The sequence below is a fragment of the Homo sapiens genome, chromosome X, assembly GCF_000001405.40.
Source record: "Homo sapiens chromosome X, GRCh38.p14 Primary Assembly".
Classification (NCBI taxonomy): domain Eukaryota; kingdom Metazoa; phylum Chordata; class Mammalia; order Primates; family Hominidae; genus Homo; species Homo sapiens.
In genome coordinates this window covers 55,073,892-55,093,496 of record NC_000023.11, presented here as the reverse complement: position 1 = coordinate 55,093,496, position 19,605 = coordinate 55,073,892, and the positions used below count along the sequence as shown (strand labels likewise).

Genomic DNA, 19,605 nt, shown 5'->3' with positions numbered 1-19,605 from the left:
AAAGCCATATACCACAGACCCACAGCTAGTATTGAAGTGGCCTCGCTGTCCGGGGTAACATCCAGGGTTCTTGGTCTCACAGCCAAGGAAATCAAGGACATGGGCACACCAAGAGTGAGGTGTAGAGCAGAAAGTTAATAGGAGAAACAAAGAGAACAGCTTTCTACTACAGAGAGGGGTCCCAGAAAAAACGGTTGCCATCCAGCAGTGAAAGGCAGGGGTTTTTATAGATGAGCTAGTGGGGAGGTAGTATCTGATCACCTACATAGGGTACAAACAACCGGTTAGGACCAGGTGTACCATCTGCATAGGGTGTGAATCTCTGGCAGCCCCCAACCTAATCTTTTATTATGCAGGCGGGTCCTCAGCCTGAGCTACTCCATGTTGCTCATTTCATTCTTACTGTGCATGTGCTAAAAACGAGGAGGTGGAAAGCCCATGGTGGACATGCCTGGCCCCAGGTGGCCTTTTCCATCTGTGCAGCTGTTGGCATCCCCCTATGAAAGCGTCCAGGTTCCTATCTATCTATGATAGAAAATCAATGTACCAACATTTTATCTCTATGTACCATCTCAAATACAGGATTTAAACTTTCAAAAAAGATACAATTCTCAAGAGTATTAAAGATCCAGAAATAAATTTAACAAAACTGTGTAAGGATTCTTTGCAGAAAACTTAAAACTTTATTAAGAGAATATTATCAGTCAAATTTCCAGATTAAGAATAACGTTCTTGGTTTCAGTCTTCATTTGTCTTGCTTGAAACCTATGGTTGCGCATCACCTATAAAATAAATATTAAATTAGGGCCCGTTACTCAGCAGATTTTTATTCATATGACACTAGAGGTATACAACTACCGTGTTGATGAACTAATATCAGAACCCTGAGGGTGAGTGACCCTTTAGCTTACAGCCAGTTAGCCTCTGAATAAACTCTGAAGGTAGACTTCCAGGCATATTAACAATATTTTTAATTCATGCCACTTTTTCTAGTAGAATAAGGAAACGAAGAGACTGTTCAAGTTCAGAATGAATTAAATCAAGTGTATTTTGTATGTATAAGTGGAAAGCAAAAAAAAAAAAAACACATATACTTTAAATGAAAATTCAACGAAATAAAATCCTAAGGGAAAAAGATATTTTAAAGTATCATTTAAATAGTCTGATATGAAATGACACTCTGAATATAGAATATGCTTAGAACGGCCTAAGTGAAGGAAATAGAAAAGTCAGTATTACATTTGTTTTGTCTCTCTTGTGAAAAAGTGTAAAAACGTTACTTTGGACTAGTGTAGCCATCATGTAGTTGCTTTAAGTAGGGCGAACATTTGTCACTATTTTCACGGGTACTCCTGCCTCTTTACATGCCTACAAGCAGTTCAGTTTATACAGTAAACTGAATATCCACGCTAGCTTTAAGCCATTACCAACACAGTTAACATCACAATATAAACTGATGCTTATTATAAACATGTTATGTATTTGTTAAAAACAGGCCTCTATAAAAATATTTGAAAATTATTGGCTGTTGGTAAAATGACTTACATTTAAAAGTCAGAACACGTTTTCATCTTTCTTTAAAAATGACACATAAAATTGTATATATTTATCATGTAAAACATGACGTTTTAAATATATATATATACACATTGTAAAATGGCTACATCAAGCTAATTAATATATGCATTACTTCATATAGCTGTGAAGACACTTGAAATCTACTGTTTTAGCATGTTTCATTTCTTTCATATCGTAATCCAATTAGTTTTGACCCAATTTTTCTCTGTCTCTTGAAGTCTTGGCCTCAAGTGATCCTTCTGCCTCGGCCTCCCAAAGTGCTGGAATTAAAAGCATGAGCCACCACACCTGGCCCTCTATCCCTGATAGTGTGTAAGGCAGCCATTTGGGGTCTGAACTACATTCAAAGAACCTTCAGACGTGAAGTATGATATTAAAGTAGCAGTAATTTTACCTCTGTGTCACACAAAATACTGTGAAAATAGAAATACAATAGTTTGCATCTTAAATGAATAACAAACCTGCTTCCAGCACTTTAGTGAGATCAAAAGTGGGCATAATACCCTCCCTGACATCAGGACCATCTCCAGGCTCATCCTCTATCTTAAGCAGAGCCAGTTCCTGTTGAAAAGCTTCCATGTCAGGCCCTTAAAAGATAAAAAGGTCATCAATTTACAAATTAAAACATGAACTATGAACGAGGAAATGATAGTATTTATTCCCTCATCATTATGAAATAAAAACCGGTAGGCTAATTATTTCAGGAATCTGCTGCCAGGAAAACAGGAAAGCAGAGATATTCGAACATTGCCCTTTTCTTTCCCAAGGCTGGCCCTAGACAACTTACTTGTCCCTTTTATACTCATTTGTTCTTATTCTTATCACATTAAATCAGCCATTTGTTTGAGTCAGTCTGACTAGACTATGAGCTTTAGGCAAAAATTTGGCACTGACATCTCCAGCACTTAGTATATTACGTGGTATGAGGAAGCATCAATAAAGGTGTGTTAAAAAGTTTCTTAAAAAATACATGACGTGTCCACAGATGGCAGACTAGGAAGCTGCAAGCTGCCATTCTTCCACAGCAACAAAAAACAGAAAATGGCTGAACAAAGCATACAGGAGCTCTGGAAAAAGGTTTATGGCAACCATGAAAATACCCAATCAATAAAAAGCCTCCATCAAAGTGGTAGGAAAGCTTAGTGGCTTTTTATGCATCCTTGTCCCACCCCTCCACACAGCAGCAGTAGGAAATGTTTAAGATTCCTTCCTAATGCTTTCTGTCCTCCTGTTACTGGTATGTCATAAAATACAATGCATAAATAGACCTCCACCACCCATAAGCATTATTTTCCACTCTCCCTTCACCTTGAAAAGCAGGCACTGCTTGATTTTCAATCTCCCCACTAGGTGCAATACCCTGATTATCAGTTGGTGGTTCCTCTTCTTGACGTTTTTCCTCAGTGGGCTCCTGGACCTAAGGGTGTAAGTGTGTGTGTGAATAAAAAGTCAATAATATAAATACACAAATGCATATGTGCATCGAATCACACATCTAAAGACATTTTTCCAACATATATAAACACATACACACACATATAGATAGATAGATGATAGATAGATAGATAGATAGATAGATAGATAGATAGACAGACAGACAGATACATACATAGAGATAGAGAGAGAGAGAGAAATATCCATATCCATACAGGTAACACCAGAATATAGTATTCCTGAACCAAAGTTTCCTTCATGAGATGCCATCATCATTTTTTATCAGCATGGAACACCTGTATCAGTGTATGTATACTAGCTCAAAAATATTTTTAAAATAAATTGTGTTAATAGAAAACATCAAATGTTAAAAGACTCACAATCACAGATCCAACCGGCTGGGAAGACTCTTGGTCATTTCCTCTTTCTGAGGATTGGGATCTTGCTCTTAGAAGCTCACTCATATTTCCCACTGCAAACAGAATATTGTTATTTGGAAAAAGTGTGTAAGAACTTAGTTATATATATGAACATTCCACGGCAAAATGGTGATTTGTACTTTTTTAATTTTGAAAATATTTTCAAATTAAGTCACAGAGCAATGATAAGTACACATGCTTTCGAATCAAACTAAGGACAGATTTGTTTGTATCATAGTCGAAGAGGCATAGAAATCCCCTTAACGCCATAGCAAAAGACAGAGGACATTTCTGCGTTTTGGTTTCACAATTAGACTCTCCATCATGAAGACATTTAGGAAAAAACGGGCAGAGAATTGAAACTGAAATGACTACTGCTTTTGTCCCACTCTGATTTGCTAGGCCCATTTCACCCCCACACCCCTCTCAAAATCAAGTCTTGTTGGAAAGCACAGCCTCGCCCATTCCTTCCTATGATGTCCATGGCGGAGGTGAGAAATTGTGAAACAGAGTGAACGTTATGCTCCTCACAGGACACCTCTGCCAGGCACTCTACAGACCTCGGGGCCACAGTCACCAGCCCACCGCGCTCCCAGTTCCCAAGCCCCTTCGTTACTGACCACACGGTCCCTTCCCGCGTCCCTACTGAGGAGTTTGGAAACTGTCCTCTCTCAGAGGGTTCCAGGAGTTTTCGAGACTCAAACACCGCTAACTGCACCCCCAGCACTTGCCCCATCTTCAGGCAATCCCTCCCCTCTGCGGCCCACCTTCCTCCCTCATCCCAGCCCAGTCAGGACAAGTCCCATGGTGGCGTCGCGACCTGGGAGGAGCTGGATGACGGCCCCGAGGCCCTTTTCCCTCAGAAGCCACAGACTGTGCCGCAGGACCTGTCCAAAGCCAGCTGGCTCCTCCACACATTCTCTCACAACTAAATTCCCAGTAACACCGTTCTGCAGACCTACCGGCTGAGTCTTGGTCAGTGAGAAAGAATCAAGATGGCGGAAAGAATGAAGACACTCTCTCTCCTTGCAGACCTCTGTGCGGACACAAGACGGGCAGCAAGGCGCCTGCGCAACAACAGACACGCATAGCAACAGACATGGGCACCAACAGGTCTGTGCAGCATGCGCACTGAGTGGGGTATTCGCCTCGTGACTGAAGTTTTCCTGCCTCTGTGGAGTAAACCACCAGCGCTCCTGACAACGAAAATGAACTTGCAAAGCACTTTTCTTTTTTCCCCGCCCACCCTTTCTTTCACTTCCAGTGGCGTTAGAGAATATGAGCCTCAGGTTACTCTAATAATGTGTTTCAGAAAAATTCACCATCATAGAAATAAATCTTAAATATTTTAATACCTGTTTTATATACGCTTCCATAAATCATTTTCTTGCCTCCTTCACGAGTTTGCTGTCATGCTTGCAATGGTCTCACCCACTGCAATATCATAAGACATTCATAGTTTTTGGTTGCATTATTGTACGTTCAAAATCTTTGATCCATCTGGACAAAATTAAAGTGGTAGGAACTCAACATTATTTGTTGAATCCCTGTTTCACCCACTGTTTTGAAATGGCTCTTATCATCACCTACATCCCCACTCAATTTTGTATGTAACTCTCTTCTTTTAATTTTCTTCCATTGAGTTGTTTATACCTGTACCACTACTACACTATTTTAATTGCTGTAGCTTAATTATATTTGAAATGTGAAATAATGCTTGCCCTCCCTCATTGATTTCTCCTTTTCTATCAATTCTGACACGTTGGTCTTTCAGATGAACTTCAGAATCATTTGATCAGGTGCTAAAATATTACTGTTGAGACACTAGTTATTATTTTTATATTACATGTTAACTCTGGGACAATAGCCATCTTTCTATTTTAGAATCTCTCTATCAAAAAAAAAAAGCCACTCCTCAATTCCTCAAGTCTTTTAACATATCCCACACAATGATTGTGTTATTTGCTTCATATTAGTTCTTCACATTCAAATTAAATTTATTCATGGGCACTTTTATTTTTCTATTCCATTGCTGACACGTGTTTGCTTCTACTCCACTATGTTTTTCACACAAGTCAAACAATCTGTTTGGAAACCATGTGATTCTATACCTAGAAAATCCCAGAATCTCTGCCCAAAAGCTCCTTGATCTTATAAACAACTTCAGGAAAGCTTCAAGATACAAAATTAATGTATAAAAACCAGAAGTGTTTCTGTACACCAACTACCTTCAAGCGCAGAGCCAAATCAGAAACACAATCCCATTCACAATTGCCACAAAAAAAAAAAATAAAATACCTAGGAATACAGCTAACGAGGGAGGAGAACAATCTCTACTATGAGAACTACAAAACACTGCTCAAAGAAATCAGAGATGACACAAACAAATGGAAAAACATTTCATGCTCGTGAACAGGAATAAGCAATACTGGCAAAATGGCCTAATTGACCAAAGCAATTCATACATTCAATGATATTCCTATTAAAGTACCAATGACATTCCTCACAGAATTAGAAAAAAAGTACTTTAAAATTCATATGGAACCAAAAAAGAGCCCAAATAACCAAGGCAATCCTAAGCAATAAGAATGAAGCCAAAAGCATCATATTACCTGACTTCAGACTATAATACAAGGCCACGGTAATCCAAACAGCATGGTACCGGTACCAAAACAGTCACAGAGACCAATGAAATAGAATACACAGCCCAGAAATAATGCTGCACACCTCACACCTATTACCACCTGATCTTCAACAAAGTTGACAAAAACAAGCAATGTAGACAGGAATCCCTATTCAATAAATGGTGCTGAGATAACTGGCTAGCTGTATGTAAAAGACTGAAACTGGACCACTTCTTATTAAAAAAATTAACTAAAGGTGGATTAAGAACTTAAATGTAAAACCCAAATCTGTAAAAACCCCGGAAGACAACGTAGGCAACGTCACTCCGGACACAGGAAAAGGCAAAGGTTTCATAACGAAGATGCCAAAAGCAATGGCAACAAAAGCAAACATTGACAAATGGGATCTAATTAAACTAAAGAGCTCCTGCACAGCAAAAAAAAAAAAAAAAAAAAAAAAAACAAAACTATCCACAGAGACAACAACCAACACACAGAATGGAAGAAAATGTTTGCAAACTATGCATCTGTCTAAGGTTTTGTATCCAGCATCTATAAAGAACTTAAAGAAATTTACCAAAAAACAAACAAACAAAAAACACTAAAATGACACGCCACGCGTGGTGCCTCACACCTGTAATTCCAGCACTTTGTGAGGCCAAGATGGGCAGATCACTGGAGGCCAGGATTTCAAGACCAGCCTGGCCAAGATGGAAAACCCTGGCTCTATCATCAAATACAAAAATTAGCTGTGCGAGGTGGTGCACACCTGTAATCCCAGCACTTTGTGAGGCCAAGATGGGCAGATCACTGGAAGCCAGGATTTCAAGACCAGCCTGGCCAAGATGGAAAACCCTGGCTCTATCATAAAATACAAAAATTAGCTGTGCGAGGTGGTGCACACCTGTAATCCCAGATACTAGCGTAGTTGAGGCAGCAGAATAGCTTGAACCTGGGAAGTGGAGGTTATAGTGAGTGGAGATCGTGCCACTGCACTCCAGCCTGGGCAACAGACCGAGACTGCATGTCAATAAACAAAACAAAACAAAACAATCCATACCATTAAAAAGTGCGCCAAGGACATGAACAGACACTTTCAAAGGAAGACGTGCACGTGGCCAACAAGCACATGAAACAAAGTTCAAAGTCACTGATCATTGGAGAAATGCAATTCAAACCACAATGAGATATCATCTCACACCAGTCAGGACGGCTATTATTAAAAAGTAAAAAAATACAATAAAATAACAGATGCTGGTGACATAGTAGAGAAAAAAAACATGTATTCACTGTTGGTGGAAGTGTAAATTAGTTCAACCATTGTAGGAAACTGTGTGCTCATTTCCCAGAGACCCAGGATATTATCCAGGAGAACTTCCTCAACCGCGCAAGACAGGCCAACATTCAAATTCAAGAAATACAGAAAACACCACTCTGCTACTCCTTGGGAAGAGCAATCTCAAGACAATAATCATCAGATTCTCCAAGGTTGAAAAAAAGGAAAAAATGTTAATGGCAGCCACAGAGAAAGGTCAGGTTACCTACAAAGGGAAGCTCATCAGACTAACAGCGGATCTCTCTACAGAAACCCTACAAGCCAGAAGAGAGTGGGGGCCAGTATTCAACATTCATAAAGAAAGAATTTTCTTTTATTTTTATTTATTTATTTATTTATTTTTATTTTTTATTATTATTATACTTTAAGTTTTAGGGTATATGTGCACAATGTGCAGGTTAGTTACATATGTATACATGTGCCATGCTGGTGTGCTGCACCCATTAACTCGTGATTTAGCATTAAGTATATCTCCTAATGCTATCCCTCCCCCATCCCCACACCCCACAACAGTCCCCAGAGTGTGATGTTCCCCTTCCTGTGTCCATGTGTTGTCATTGTTCAATTCCCATCTGTGAGTGAGAACATGCAGTGTTTGGTTTTTTGTCTTTGTGATAGTTTACTGAGAATGATGATTTCCAATTTCACCCATGTCCCTATAAAGGACATGAACTCATCATTTTTTATGGCTGCATAGTATTCCATGGTGTATATGTGCCACATTTTCTTCATCCAGTCTATCATTGTTGGACATTTGGGTTGGTTCCAAGTCTTTGCTATTGTGAATAGTGCCGCAATAAACATACGTGTGCATGTGTCTTTATAGCAGCATGATTTATAGTCCTTTGGGTATATACCCAGTAATGGGATGGCTGAGTCAAATGTATTTCTAGTTCTAGATCCCTGAGGAATCGCCACACTGACTTCCACAATGGCTGAACTAGTTTCCAGTCCCACCAACAATGTAAAAGTGTTCCTATTTCTCCACATTCTCTCCAGCACCTGTTGTTTCCTGACTTTTTAATGACTGCCATTCTAACTGGTGTGAGGCACAACCAGTACCAGCCGCTGCAAAATCATGCCAAAATGTAAAGGCCGTCGAGACTAGGAAGAAACTGCATCAACTAACGAGCAAAATAACCAGCTAACATCATAATGACAGGATCAAATTCACACATAACAATATTAACTTTAAATGTAAATGGACTACATGCTCCAATTAAAAGACACAGACTGGCAAATTGGATAAAGAGTCAAGACCCATCAGTGTGCTGTGTTCAGGAAACGCAACTCACATGCAGAGACACACATAGGCTCAAAATAAAAGGATGGAGGAAGATCTACCAAGCAAATTGAAAACAAAAAAAGGCAGGGGTTGCAATCCTAGTCTCTGATAAAACACACTTTAAACCAACAAAGATCAAAAGAGACAAAGAAGGCCATTACATAATGGTAAAGGGATCAATTCAACAAGAAGAGCTAACTATCCTAAATATATATGCACCCAATACAGGAGCACCCAGATTCATAAAGCAAGTCCTGAGTGACCTACAAAGAGACTTAAGACTCCCACACAATAATAATGGGAGACTTTAACACCCCACTGTCAACATTAGACAGAAAGTTAACAAGGATACCCAGGAATTGAACTCAGCTCTGCACCAAGCGGACCTAATAGACATCTACAGAACTCTCCACCCCAAATCAACAGAATATACATTTTTTTTCAGCACCACACCACACCTATTCCAAAATTGACCACATAGTTGGAAGTAAAGCACTCCTCAGCAAATGTAAAAGAACAGAAATTATAACAAACTGTCTCTCAGATCACAGTGCAATCAAACTAGAACTCAGGATTAAGAAACTCACTCAAAACCGCTCACCTACATGGAAACTGAACAACCTGCTCCTGAATGACTACTGGGTACATAACGAAATGAAGGCAGAAATAAAGATGTTCTTTGAAACCAACGAGAACAAAGACACAACATACCAGAATCTCTGGGACACATTCAAAGCAGTGTGTAGAGGGAAATTTATAGCACTAAATGCCCACAACAGAAAGCAGGAAAGATCCAAAATGGACACCCTAACATCACAATTAAAAGAACTAGAAAAGCAAGAGCAAACACATTCAAAAGCTAGCAGAAGGCAAGAAATAACAAAAATCAGAGCAGAACTGAAGGAAATAGAGACCAAAAAAACCCTTCAAAAAATTAATGAATCCAGGAGCTGGTTTTTTGAAAGGATCAACAAAATTGATAGACCGCTAGCAAGACTAATAAAGAAAAAAAGAGAGAAGAATCAAATAGATGCAATAAAAAATGATAAAGGGGATATCACCACCAATCCCACAGAAATACAAACTACCCTCAGAGAATACTACAAACACCTCTACGCAAATAAACTAGAAAATCTAGAAGAAATGGATAAATTCCTCGACACATACACTCTCCCAAGACTAAACCAGGAAGAAGCTGAATCTCTGAATAGACCAATAACAGGCTCTGAAATTGTGGCAATAATCAATAGCTTACCAACCAAAAAGAGTCCAGGACCAGATGGATTCACAGCCGAATTCTACCAGAGGTACAAGGAGGAACTGGTACCATCCCTTATGAAACTATTCCAATGAATAGAAAAAGAGGGAATCCTCCCTAACTCATTTTATGAGGCCAGCATCATCCTGATACCAAAGCCGGGCAGAGACACAACCAAAAAAGAGAATTTTAGACCAATATCCTTGATGAACATTGATGCAAAAATCCTCAATAAAATACTGGCAAACCAAATCCAGCAGCACATCAAAAAGCTTATCCAGCATGATCAAGTGGGCTTCATCCCTGGGATGCAAGGCTGGTTCAATATATGCAAATCAATAAATGTAATCCAGCATATAAACAGAACCAAAGACAAAAACCACATGATTATCTCAATAGATGCAGCAAAGGCCTTTGACAAAATTCAATAACCCTTCATGCTAAAAACTCTCAATAAATTAGGTATTGATGGGACGTATCTCAAAATAATAAGAGCTATCTATGACAAACCCACAGCCAATATCATACTGAATGGGCAAAAACTGGAAGCATTCCCTTTGAAAACTGGCACAAGACAGGGATGCCCTCTCTCACTACTCCTATTCAACACAGTGTTGGAAGTTCTGGCCAGGGCAATTAGGCAGGAGAAGGAAATAAAGGGTATTCAATTAGGAAAAGAGGAAGTCAACTTGTCCCTGTTTGCAGACGACATGATTGCATATCTAGAAAACTCCATTGTCTCAGCCTAAAGACAGAATTTTCAACCCAGAATTTCATATCCGGCCAAACTAAGCTTCGTAAGGGAAGGAGAAACAAAATCCTTTCCAGAACAGCAAATGCTGAGGGATTTTGTCACCGTCAGGCCTGCCTTACAAGAGCTCCTGAAGAAAGCACTAAATATGAAAAGGAGAAAGCAGTACCAGCCACTGCAAAAACAAACAAAAAAATGAAGACAAACAACACTATGAAGATACTGCATCAACTAATGTGCAAAATAACCAGCTAGCATCATGATGACAGAATCAAATTCACACATAACAATATTAATCTTAAATGTAAATGGGAGAAACGCCCCAATTAAAACACACAGACTGGTACATTGGATAAAAAGTCAAGACCCATCGGTGTGACAGATACAGAAGACCCATCACACGTGCAAAGGACACACAGGCTCAAAATAAAGGGATGGAGGAATACTGACCAAGTAAATGAAAAGCAGAAAAAAAAAAGCTGGAGTTGCAATCCTAGTCTCTGATAAAACAGACTTTAAACCAACAAAATACAAAACTAGCTTTCAAAGCCACTGATCATTGGAGAAGTGCAATTCAAATCACAATGACATATCATCTCACACCAGTCAGAATGGCTATTATTAAAAAGTAAAAAAACTAAAATAGAACAAAATAACAGATGCTGGTGACATTGTGGAGAAAAACACTTATTCACTGTTGGTAGAACTTAAATTAGTTCAACCATTGTAGGAAACAGTGTGCTGATTCCCCAGAGACCTAAAAGCAAAACTACCATTCCATCCAAGCAATCCCATTACTGGGTATACAGCCAAAGGGATATAAACTGTTCTGTCATAAAGACCCATGTACGCATATGTTCACTGCAGCACTATTCACAATACCAAAGATATGGAATCAACCAAAAAGCCCATCGATGGTAGACTGGATAAAGAAAATGGAGTACATATATACCATGGAATAGGATGCAGCCATAAAAACGAAATGACATTATCTCCGTGGCCAGAACATGGATGGAGCTGGAGGTCATTATACTTAGCAAAGTAATGCATGAACAGAAAACTAAATACTGCATGTTCTCACTTATAAGTGGAAGCTATAAATGGGAAAAAATAAACACACAGAGGAGAACAACAGACACTGGGGCCCACCAAAGAGTGGAGGATGGGAGGAGGGAGAGGATCAGGAAAAAATAGCTCATGAGTACCAGGCTTAATACCTGGGCGACAAAATAATCTGTACAACAAACCCCCATGACACAAGTTCACCTGTATAACAAACCTGCACCACATGTATGCCTGAACTTAAAAGATACAAAAAGAATAAGAAAAAAATAGATTTCAAAACAAAATCTTTGAGAAGAGACTAAAGGTCACTATACAATAATAAAGGGGTCAATTCATCCAAAGGATATTAACAATTTTAAATATATATGCACCCAACACTTGAGCACGCAGATATATAAAACAAATTCTATAAGAGCTAAAGAGAGAGATAGCCCCCAATAAAATAATAGATGGAGACTTCAGCAACCCACATTCAGTATTGGACAGATCTGCCAGACAGAAACTCAACAACAACAACAACAACAAAAATAGAGTTAATCTGCACTACACACACATGGATCTAATAGATATTTACAGAACATTTCATCCAACGACTACAGAATACACGTTCTTTTCCTCAGCACGTGGATCATTCTTAAGGACAAGACCATGTGTTAGGTCTCAAAACATTAAAAAAAAAAACCTGAAATAATATCATGGATCTTGTCAGACCACAATGCCATAAAACTAGAAATTAATAACAAGAGGAATTTTGGAAACTATACAAATACATGAAAACTGAATAATCTGCTCCTGAATGAATAATGGGTCAATGAAGAAGCTAAGAAGGAAATTTAAAAAGTTGTTGAAACAAATGATAATGGAGACACAACATACCAAAACGATGGGATACAGCAAAAGCAGTACTCGGAAAGAGGTTTATAGCTATAAGTGCCTACAACAAAACAGGTAAAAATTTCAACTAAACAATCTAATGATGCATCTTAAAGAGCTGCAAAGAAAGAGCAAACCAAACCAAAAATTAGAAGAAATAATAAAGATCCCAGCAGAAATAAACGAAATTGAAATGAAAAACCCCTACAAAAGAGCAGTAACACAAAAAGTTGTTTTTTTAATAAGTTAACCAAAATTGACAAACCATTAGCCAAACTAAGAAAAAAAGAGAGAAACCCAAATAAATAAAATCAGAAATGAAAAAGGATTTGAGAGGCTGAGGCAGGTGGATCACTTGAGGCCAGGACCTCAAGACCAACCTGGCCAACATGGCAAAACTCCAACTCTACTAAAAATACAAAAAATTAACCACGTGTGGTGGTAGGCGCCTGTAATCCCAGCTACTAGGGTGGCTGAGGCAAGAGAATTGCTTGAACCCTGGAGGTGGAGGTTCTAGTGAGCTGAGACTGTGCCATTGCATTCCAGTCTGGCGATAAAAGGAGACTGTCTCGAGAAAAAAAAAAGAAGAAAAAAGAAAAAGAAATAAAAAAGGACACATTACAAAACTGATGCTGCAAAAATTCAAAGGATCATAACTGGCTCCTATGAGAAACTCCATGCCTATAAATTGGAAAATCTAGAAAAAAATGGACTAATTCCTAAATACATACAACCTCCCAAGATTGAACCAGGAAGAAATCCATAAACTGAACAGACCAGTAACAAGCAACAAGATCAAAGCCATAATAAAAGTCTTCAAGTAAAGAAACGCCAGACCTGATGGCTTCACTACTGAATTCTACCCAACATTTAAAGAAGGACTAATACCAATCCTACTCAAACTATTTTGAAAAATAGAGGAGGAGGGAATACTTCCAAACTAATTCTATGAGGCCAGTATTACCCTGATACCAAAACCAGACAAAGACACATCAGAAAAAGAAAACTACAGGGCAAAACCGCTGATGAATATTGATGCAGAAATCCTCAACAGAATACCAGCAAATCAAATTCAACAATACGCTATAAAGAATCATCATCATGACCAAGTGAGATTTATCCCCGGGATGGAAGGATGGTTCAACATATGCAAATTAATGTATGTGATAAATCATTATCAACAGAATGAAGGATACAAACCATATAGTCATTTCGATCGATGCTGAAAAGCATTTAATAAAACTCAATATTTCATCATGATACAAACCCTCAAAACACCGGGGAAAGAAGGAACATACTTCAATGTAATAAAAGCCATATACCACAGACCCACAGCTAGTATTGAAGTGGCCTCGCTGTCCGGGGTAACATCCAGGGTTCTTGGTCTCACAGCCAAGGAAATCAAGGACATGGGCACACCAAGAGTGAGGTGTAGAGCAGAAAGTTAATAGGAGAAACAAAGAGAACAGCTTTCTACTACAGAGAGGGGTCCCAGAAAAAACGGTTGCCATCCAGCAGTGAAAGGCAGGGGTTTTTATAGATGAGCTAGTGGGGAGGTAGTATCTGATCACCTACATAGGGTACAAACAACCGGTTAGGACCAGGTGTACCATCTGCATAGGGTGTGAATCTCTGGCAGCCCCCAACCTAATCTTTTATTATGCAGGCGGGTCCTCAGCCTGAGCTACTCCATGTTGCTCATTTCATTCTTACTGTGCATGTGCTAAAAACGAGGAGGTGGAAAGCCCATGGTGGACATGCCTGGCCCCAGGTGGCCTTTTCCATCTGTGCAGCTGTTGGCATCCCCCTATGAAAGCGTCCAGGTTCCTATCTATCTATGATAGAAAATCAATGTACCAACATTTTATCTCTATGTACCATCTCAAATACAGGATTTAAACTTTCAAAAAAGATACAATTCTCAAGAGTATTAAAGATCCAGAAATAAATTTAACAAAACTGTGTAAGGATTCTTTGCAGAAAACTTAAAACTTTATTAAGAGAATATTATCAGTCAAATTTCCAGATTAAGAATAACGTTCTTGGTTTCAGTCTTCATTTGTCTTGCTTGAAACCTATGGTTGCGCATCACCTATAAAATAAATATTAAATTAGGGCCCGTTACTCAGCAGATTTTTATTCATATGACACTAGAGGTATACAACTACCGTGTTGATGAACTAATATCAGAACCCTGAGGGTGAGTGACCCTTTAGCTTACAGCCAGTTAGCCTCTGAATAAACTCTGAAGGTAGACTTCCAGGCATATTAACAATATTTTTAATTCATGCCACTTTTTCTAGTAGAATAAGGAAACGAAGAGACTGTTCAAGTTCAGAATGAATTAAATCAAGTGTATTTTGTATGTATAAGTGGAAAGCAAAAAAAAAAAAAACACATATACTTTAAATGAAAATTCAACGAAATAAAATCCTAAGGGAAAAAGATATTTTAAAGTATCATTTAAATAGTCTGATATGAAATGACACTCTGAATATAGAATATGCTTAGAACGGCCTAAGTGAAGGAAATAGAAAAGTCAGTATTACATTTGTTTTGTCTCTCTTGTGAAAAAGTGTAAAAACGTTACTTTGGACTAGTGTAGCCATCATGTAGTTGCTTTAAGTAGGGCGAACATTTGTCACTATTTTCACGGGTACTCCTGCCTCTTTACATGCCTACAAGCAGTTCAGTTTATACAGTAAACTGAATATCCACGCTAGCTTTAAGCCATTACCAACACAGTTAACATCACAATATAAACTGATGCTTATTATAAACATGTTATGTATTTGTTAAAAACAGGCCTCTATAAAAATATTTGAAAATTATTGGCTGTTGGTAAAATGACTTACATTTAAAAGTCAGAACACGTTTTCATCTTTCTTTAAAAATGACACATAAAATTGTATATATTTATCATGTAAAACATGACGTTTTAAATATATATATATACACATTGTAAAATGGCTACATCAAGCTAATTAATATATGCATTACTTCATATAGCTGTGAAGACACTTGAAATCTACTGTTTTAGCATGTTTCATATCTTTCATATCGTAATCCAATTAGCTTTGACCCAATTTTTCTCCATCTCTGGAAGTCCTGGCCTCAAGTGATCTTTCTGTCTCGGCCTCCCAAAGTGCTGGAATTAACAGCATGAGCCACCACACCTGGCCCTCTATCCCTGATAGTGTGTAAGGCAGCCATTTGGGGTCTGAACTACATTCAAAGAACCTTCAGACGTGAAGTATGATATTAAAGTAGCAGTAATTTTACCTCTGTGTCACACAAAATACTGTGAAAATAGAAATACAATAGTTTGCATCTTAAATGAATAACAAACCTGCTTCCAGCACTTTAGTGAGATCAAAAGTGGGCATAATCCCCTCCCTGACATCAGGACCATCTCCAGGCTCATCCTCTATCTTAAGCAGAGCCAGTTCCTGTTGAAAAGCTTCCATGTCAGGCCCTTAAAAGATAAAAAGGTCATCAGTTTACAAATTAAAACATGAACTATGAACAAGGAAATGATAATATTTATTCCCTCATCATTATGAAGTAAAAACCTGTAGGCTAATTATTTCAGGAATCTGCTGCCAGGAAAACAGGAAAGCAGAGATGTTCAAACATTGCCCTTTCCTTTCCCAAGGCTGGCCCTAGACAACTTACTTGTCCCTTTTGTACTCATTTGTTCTTATTCTTATCACATTAAATCAGCGATTTGTTTGAGTCAATCTGACTAGACTATGAGCTTTAGGCAAAAATTTGGCACTGACATCTCCAGCACTTAGTATATTACGTGGTATGAGGAAGCATCAATAAAGGTGTGTTAAAAAGTTTCTTAAAAAATACATGACGTGTCCACAGATGGCAGACTAGGAAGCTGCAAGCTGCCATTCTTCCACAGCAACAAAAAACAGAAAATGGCTGAACAAAGCATACAGGAGCTCTGGAAAAAGGTTTATGGCAACCATGAAAATACCCAATCAATAAAAAGCCTCCGTCAAAGTGGTAGGAAAGCTTAGTGGCTTTTTATGCGTCCTTGTCCCACCCCTCCACACAGCAGCAGTAGGAAATGTTTAAGATTCCTTCCTAATGCTTTCTGTCCTCCTGTTACTGGTATGTCATAAAATACAATGCATAAATAGACCTCCACCACCCATAAGCATTATTCTCCACTCTCCCTTCACCTTGAACGGCAGGTGCTCCTTCATTTTCGATCTCCCCACTAGGTGCAATACCCTGATTATCAGTTGGTGGTTCCTCTTCTTGACGTTTTTCCTCAGTGGGCTCCTGGACCTAAGGGTGTAAGTGTGTGTGTGAATAAAAAGTCAATAATATAAATACACAAATGCATATGTGCATCGAATCACACATCTAAAGACATTTTTCCAACATATATAAACACATATATATGTATATACATATATGTATATATACATACATACGTATATACATACATATATACACATACATATATACATACATACATACATATATACATATATACATATACACACACACACACATATATATATATAGAGAGAGAGAGAGAGAGAAATATCCATATCCATACAGGTAACACCAGAATATAATATTCCTGAACCAACGTTTCCTTCATGAGATGCCATCATCATTTTTTATCAGCATGGAACACCTGTATCAGTGCGTGTACACTAGCTCAAAAATATTTCTTAAAATAAATTGTGTTAATAGGAAACATCAAATGTTAAAGGACTCACAATCACAGATCCAACTGGCTGGGAAGACTCTTGGTCATTTCCTCTTTCTGAGGATTGGGATCTTGTTCTCACATGCTCACTCATATTTCCCACTGAAAATAGAATACTGTTATTTGGAAAAAGTGTATAAGAACTTAGCTATATATATGAACATTCCATGGCAAAATGGTGATTTGTATTTTTTTAATTTTGAAAATATTTTCAACGTAATTCACAGAGCATTGATAAGTACCCACGCTTTCCAATCAAACTAAGGACAGATTTGTTTGTATCATAGTCGAAGAGGCATAGAAATCCCCTTAACGCCATAGCAAAAGACAGAGGACATTTCTGCGTTTTGGTTTCACAATTAGACTCTCCATCATGAAGACATTTGGGGGAAAAAAGGGCAGAGAATTGAAACTGAAATGACTACTGCTTTTGTCCCACTCTGATTTGCTAGGCCCATTTCACCCCCACACCTCTCTCAAAATCAAGTCTTGTTGGAAAGCACAGCCTCGCCCATTCCTTCCATGGCGTCCATGGCGGAGGTGAGAAATTGTGAAACAGAGTGAACGTTATGCTCCTCACGGGACACCTCTGCCAGGCACTCTACAGACCTCGGGGCCACAGTCACCGGCCCACAGCGTTCCCAGTTCCCAGGCCCCTTCCTTACTGACCACATGGTCTCTTCCCGCGTCCCTACCGAGGAGTCTGGAAACTGTCCTCTCTCAGAGGGTTCCAGGAGTTTTCGAGACTCAGACACCTCTAACAGCACCCCCAGCACTCGCCCCATCTTCACGCGATCCCTCCCCTCTGTGGCCCACCTTCCTCCCTCGTCCCTCGTCCCAGCCCAGCCACGACGACAAGTCCCACGGTGGCATCCCGACCTGGGAGGGGCCGGACGACGACCGCGAGGCCCTTTTCCCTCGGAAGCCACGGACTGTGCCGCAGGACCTGTCCAAAGCCAGCTGGCTCCTCCACACATTCACCCACAACTAAATTCCCAGGAAGACCGCTCTGCGGACCTACCGGCTGAGTCTCGGTCAGTGACAAAGAATCAAGATGGCGGAAAGAATGAAGACACTCTCCTTGCAGAGCTGTGTGTGGACAGAAGGCGGGCAGCAAGGCGCATGCGCAACAACAGACACGTGTAGCAACAGACATGCGTAACAACAGACAAGTGCAGCAACAGGTCTGTGCAGCATGCACACTGACTGGGACATTCGCCTCGTGACTGATGTTTTCCTGCGTCTGTGGAGAACCTAAACCACCAGCGCTCCTGACAACGAAAATGAACTTGCAAAGCACTTTTCTTTTTCCCCCGCCCACCCTTTCTTTCACTTCCAGTGGCTTTGGAGAATATGAGCCCCAGGTTACTCTAATAATGTGTTTCAGAAAACTTCACCATCATAGAAATAAATCTTAAATATTTTAATATCTGTTTTATATACGCTTCCATAAATCATTTTCTTGCCTCCTTCACGAGTTTGCTGTCATGCTTGCAATTGTCTAACCCATTCCAATATAAGACATTCATAGTTTTTGGTTGCATTATTGTACGTTCAAAATCTTTGATCCATCTGGACAAAATTAAAGTGGTAGGAACTCAACATTATTTGTTGAATCCCTGTTGCACCCACTGTTTTGAAATGGCTCTTTTATCATCACCTACATCCCCACTCAATTTTGTATGTAACTCTCTTCTTTTAATTTTCTTCCATTGAGTTGTTTATACCTGTACCACTACTACACTATTTTAATTGCTGTAGCTTAAATTATATTTGAAATGTGAAATAATGCTTGCCCTCCCTCATTGATTTCTCCTTTTCTATCAATTCTGACACGTTGGTCTTTCAGATGAACTTCAGAATCATTTGATCAGGTGCTAAAATATTCCTGTTGAGATACTAGTTATTATTTTTATATTACATGTTAACTCTGGGACAATAGCCATCTTCCTATTTTAGAATCTCTCTATCAAAAAAAAGCCACTCCTCAATTCCTCAAGTCTTTTAACATATCCCACACAATGACTGTGTTATTTGCTTCATATTAGTTCTTCACATTCAAATTAAATTTATTCATGGGCACTTTTATTTTTCTATTCCATTGCTGACACGTGTTTGCTTCTACTCCACTATGTTTTTCACACAAGTCAAACAATCTGTTTGGAAACCATGTGATTCTATACCTAGAAAATCCCAGAATCTCTGCCCAAAAGCTCCTTGATCTTATAAACAACTTCAGGAAAG

At 38.9% G+C, this 19,605-nt stretch overlaps 2 protein-coding genes across 7 annotated transcripts in view; both read right to left on the bottom strand.

Annotated features, from left to right (window-relative positions):
- Positions 1-654: 654 nt before the first annotated feature.
- On the bottom strand, positions 655-4,479 carry PAGE2 (PAGE family member 2). 2 transcript variants are annotated; one of them, XM_017029353.2, is made up of 5 exons: positions 4,252-4,479; positions 3,393-3,484; positions 2,887-2,995; positions 2,040-2,165; positions 655-782 (listed from the first exon to the last, which is right to left on the bottom strand). In XM_017029353.2, the coding sequence occupies exons 2-5, from the start codon at positions 3,474-3,476 to the stop codon at positions 766-768; spliced, it is 336 nt and encodes a 111-aa protein (XP_016884842.1). In that variant the 5' UTR covers positions 3,477-3,484; positions 4,252-4,479; the 3' UTR covers positions 655-765. The 2 variants fall into 2 exon arrangements, with proteins under 2 accessions (XP_016884842.1, NP_997222.1); NM_207339.4 differs by having other exon boundaries at positions 4,394-4,479.
- Positions 4,480-14,587: 10,108 nt separating this feature from the next.
- PAGE2B (PAGE family member 2B) overlaps positions 14,588-19,605 on the bottom strand; it is a 50,793-nt gene continuing 45,775 nt past the window's right edge. For 2 of the 5 annotated variants that reach the window (XM_011530785.3, XM_011530786.4), the window contains 4 exons: positions 17,372-17,463; positions 16,820-16,928; positions 15,973-16,098; positions 14,588-14,715 (listed from right to left, as the gene is read on the bottom strand). In XM_011530785.3, coding sequence (XP_011529087.1) covers positions 14,699-14,715; positions 15,973-16,098; positions 16,820-16,928; positions 17,372-17,463 — 344 coding nt within the window. In that variant the 3' untranslated portion in view covers positions 14,588-14,698. Of the gene's footprint in view, positions 14,716-15,972; positions 16,099-16,819; positions 16,929-17,371; positions 17,478-18,240; positions 18,468-19,605 lie in introns of those variants that run through there. The other 3 variants (XM_017029513.2, XM_011530787.3, NM_001015038.3) reach the window with 3 other exon arrangements.